This window comes from Homo sapiens, chromosome 2 (assembly GCF_000001405.40).
Source record: "Homo sapiens chromosome 2, GRCh38.p14 Primary Assembly".
NCBI classification, from domain to species: domain Eukaryota; kingdom Metazoa; phylum Chordata; class Mammalia; order Primates; family Hominidae; genus Homo; species Homo sapiens.
In genome coordinates, this window is record NC_000002.12 from 235,347,282 (window position 1) to 235,351,839 (window position 4,558).

General features: G+C 47.8%; 1 annotated feature.

The window, feature by feature from the left end:
• Positions 1-1,200: an enhancer, noted in NCBI's record as "P300/CBP strongly-dependent group 1 enhancer chr2:236255926-236257125 (GRCh37/hg19 assembly coordinates)". NCBI's record gives its function as "activates an origin of replication core promoter dependent on BRD2, BRD4, P300/CBP, MED14 and CDK7 cofactors, with strong dependence on P300/CBP, by STARR-seq in HCT116 cells {active_cell/tissue: HCT116}" and the evidence as "EXISTENCE:reporter gene assay evidence [ECO:0000049][PMID:35650434]".

The window sequence follows — 4,558 nt, forward strand, 5'->3', positions numbered from 1 at the left end:
GAATTTGCAAGGTGGCTGTCCCGCCACGGCTCTCATCCTTGCCAACCCCAGGCCAGCGTCTCTGGCCCACTCCTCCCTTTCTGCTCTGTCCCGGCTCTCCCAACATTCCTCTCTTTCGAGACCTTTTTGCTCTGCTTCTGGAACTTTGTTCCGTTGAAAACATGCAGCCCAGCCTCACCATACCCCACAGAATGCTCCTGGCTTTGGTGAAATCTGACTCCCCGTCAAGGACATCGTTGTACTTGGAACCCTCTCCAGGGCATGGCCTCAGCCCCCAGAGCCCACGGGCCGACTCCTGGGTCTCCACTGTAACTTCCCTTCTAATGAGTTTCCACCGCCATGCAGAGCTCTTCACAGGTGACTCCGGCCCCAAACCCACACACCCACAACCAAAGCCTAGATGCCCTCACTCCTCAAGCCAATCCCCAATCTCCCAGAAGTCTCGCTAATCCTAGACTTTACTGCCAAGTTTTGTCTTTGACAAATTCTCATTTTTCTTTTTATTTTACAGAAAACCCAATCAAGTTGTGTTCTTGAGTGTGATGAGTCATCGCGACCTCAAACATTACCAGATTCTGTGACTCAGCACAGCCAGGGAGCTCCAAGACAATCGTCATTAGGCATCAAAAGGACCAGCCAAGGCACCATTTAACCATAAAATCAAAAGAAGATACTTCATCAGCGAACTCCATACAATATCAAAGGCTTGCTTAATAACAGGAAATGAGACACACATGAGAGTTTGAGAAAGCGATTGACCGTTTCAGCTAAGAGCGTTTTACCAATTCTTGACAGTCATTATGAATTTGATGGGAAGTAACTGCCTTTCCTTCTATTAGAAATGGTGCTGCATGTAAGAACATCTAAAAATAAGATAAAAGAACAACGGCTTCTGGTTTCGTTACTGGGACTCAAGCCTGCTATGATTTATTGGAACATTATTGATAAAACAATGCTTTGCCTTCGGAAAGCAATTTTTCTCCTCTTGCACAGAAGGCTGACACCTAGGAAGATAAGGTTGTACTGTAGACAAATAAAGAAGAGAAAGGAGTCTCCAGAGCTGGCCTTGGCTCCTGGCAATTTGGAGCAGGTCAGCACACACAAATCATGGTGGTCCTGGAGCTGTGGGTCACATTGGACGTGTTGGGCAGCTTCCACCTGGAGCGCTCTCGGAGAAATCAGAACGGGGAATTAGTTGGTCTCCCTGCTGCAACCCCAAGAGGCATCCTTGCCTGTGCCTAGCCTGACACTGATTTAAAGTACTCAATTTCAGATACTCCTGAGGGCCTCCAAATGTCAAAGACATGTGAATAATTGGTCATTCGGGGAAGGTCTGGGCGCCCTGAAAAGCATGTGCAGAGAGACCACTTGCTAATGAGAAAACCTGGAGCCTCTCAGCTCGCTTTACACTCTACTGTTACGGGGTTCAGGTCAGAAGGGTCCCTTGCCTTTTAAGGGTTTTGGTTTTGGATGGAGGTAAAAGACAGTAATATTAATAATTACCACATGCTGAGCACTTACTACATGCCAAATACTGTGTTGAGGGCCTTGCATGCCTCATCTCACAAAAGCTGTGTGAGAGAGCTATTATCTTTAAGGATCTATGGCTCAGAGGGGTTAAGTAACTCTTGCAAGAGCACACAGCTAGTACCTAAGCCCAAGTCTGTCTAACTGGAAAACTCATATTCATAACGACAGCCCATAAGCACTCAAAGGCCTTGATATGGTTTGGATTTGTGTTCCCACCCAAATCTCATGTCGAATTGTAATCCCCAGTGTTGGAGATGAGGCCTGCTAGGAGGTGATTGGATCATGGAGGCAGTTTTTCATGGTTTAACACCATCCCCCTTGGTGTTATTATGGCAAGAGTGAGTTATTGCAAGATCTGGTTTAAAAGTGTGTAGCAACTTCCCCCTCTCTTTCTTCCTCCCGCTACAGCCACGTAAGATGTGCTTGCTTTCCCTTTGCCTCCTGCCATTATTTTAAGTTTCCTCCCCAGCCATGCTTCCTGTACAGCCTGCAGAAGCATGAGCCAATTAAACCTCTTTTCTTTATAAAGTACCCAGTCTCACAGGTTGTGCTTGATAGCAATACGAGAATGGATAACACAGGTCTCCACACAATCACCACAATGTCAAGAGTGACCTAGAGCCATTATTTGACATTCATTCACTCAGGAAATATTTCTGAGGCCTATACTGTGTAATGCACTATGTCCCCAACACAATGAGTTAAGAATCAGTCTTTAGGGCGAAAAGCCATGTGCATGGATGCCAGGAACAAAGATAGTTCACGAGAGTGTGTGGGTTAAGAAGCTCTAGATGAATGGAGAGGCAGCCAAGGACTCTGCAGCTAGGTGATCAGGGATAGGACTAGGAGGGATGGATGAGACACGCACAGTTAGGGGGTCAGGCACCCCAGAAGGATGAGAGATGGAGCAATGGTGGAGAAACCTGGGGCACACACAGGAGCCACTGAGCCCAGTGTGGCGGGAGGGCAGTGGAGGGAGAAGAACACTCCGAGCGGACGTGGAGGAAGCAAACTCATCAGATCCCTGCCAAGCTAAGAAGTGTGAGTTTCATGTTACTGGCAAGACATTTTTGGGCAAGTGAAATGACATGATCTGAGCTTGGTCTGGGGAAGTCAAACTGAAGCCTTGCTGCCTAAGTTCCACTGGAGTGAAGCCAGGGCGGGGGCAAGAGTTAAAACAAGACACAACCATCCAGGGGAGAAGTGGCAAGGGTCTAATCCACAGCCACAGCGGGGAGATGGAAAAAGAGAAAATAACTCCTGTGCTGCCAGAAAGGCTTTGAGAGGACACGGGAATTGGAAGGGGGAGAGGCAGAGCGGGTTAAGCTGAGTCCATGGAGACTGGAGGAGCATCATGGAAATTTGGTTTTAAGTGTTTGAATGAAGGAGGCAACAGGCAGGGGAGCTGTAGAATAAGGAGGTAGACAAACCATTCCACCCAGACAAGGATGGGGACTCCAGAGATGGACAACACCATAAAGGTAAACGGAGGTCCATGGGTGGGAACAGAGAGAGGAGCATAGGAGAATGAGAATGGGAAGACAGAGACACCTGCTCTTGGGAAACATGAGACGTTGGAAAGCAACAAGGATTGCACATAGTCACAGGGGCAAAAGGAAGGGCTGGGAAACTGGGTCAGGTGCTATGGAAGGCACACGGGCCAATGGCCTCTGCGAGATGTTTTTTCTATGCCCAAGCAGATGATGGTTTCCTTGGGTGTAGGGATCATGTTTATTCTTCTAGGTACCCTGCAATGTACAACACACAACTACTATTATTAGTTAACTATTATTAACAACCCACAACTTACATAGGGTAGTTAATAATTAAAATACAGTGTAGGACCAGGAAGGCATCCTAAGCCCACCTATTCACCTCAGTTCTCCCAGCCACCCAGCACCACAGAAGAAATGCTAACATACTACTGGAAATGAGGAAGGGCTCTCTGTTACTTTTTTGAAATATCAATGATGTCATGCAGCCAAGGGTTCGCCAGAAAGAGGAATGGGGAGGGGTAAGAGGGACACTCTCCTACCTCTGTGCAAAATGTGGGGTGGAAGGCCGGGCGCAGTGGCTCACGCCTGTAATCCCAGCACTTCGGGAGGCTGAGGTGGGCAGATCACGAGGTCAGGAGATCGAGAGCATCCTAGCCAACATGGTGAAACCCCGTCTCTACTAAAAATACAAAAATTAGCTGGGCGTGGTGGCATGTGCCTGTAATCCCAGCTACTGGGGAGGCTGAGGCAGGAGAATCGCTTGAACCAGGGAGTTGGAGGTTGCAGTGAGCCAAAATCCTGCCACTGCACTCCATCCTGGTGCCAGAGTGAGACTCCATCTCAAAAAAAATAAAAGAAAAAAAAAGTGGGGTGGAGCAGTCTTCAGGAAGGACACATGGGGCCATCCCCGCCTCCCCACACTTATCCTGGAAAGCCACTGCAATCATGTGGACCTGAGTAAGGAGGGATGGCAACGATGAAGTACAGTCAAGGGTGAAAAGATGGCAGTGTGGTCTCTGGTCCAGCCTCAGTGCTAACCTGAGAGTTTGGATAACACCTAAAGCCTGCTCCTTGAGGCTGCAAGAGACAGAGATGATCCTTGGAAGACAGCAGAGACATAGGGGTAAGGGAAGGGGGAGGGCATTGCTGGGGGAGGCACCAACCTCCACTGGCTGGGAGGGCAGTTTCCCAGCACTGGGCTACCTTTCTCTCCTACAGCTCTGCCCTTCTTTAGAAAAAAATGATCAGCTGTTTAAACAGTCAAGGAGAATTGTGATCAGTCTAAACATTTCCCTTCCCTTGTGACAGTGATCGAAAGATGAGAACAGTGACCTCAACAGTTTTTGATGCAGCCCATCTCAGCCACTAATCCCAAACAAGTGTCAACAGAGAGAAAACGACTACTGAGCATATTAAAAGACTTTGCCAGTTCCCAAGGAAAGAGCAAGTCAATCAAATTTAAGCCCAGGAAAAGAGTTACTGCAAGTACAAGAACATATTTTTTTTAACTCTACTATATTCTCAATATGATT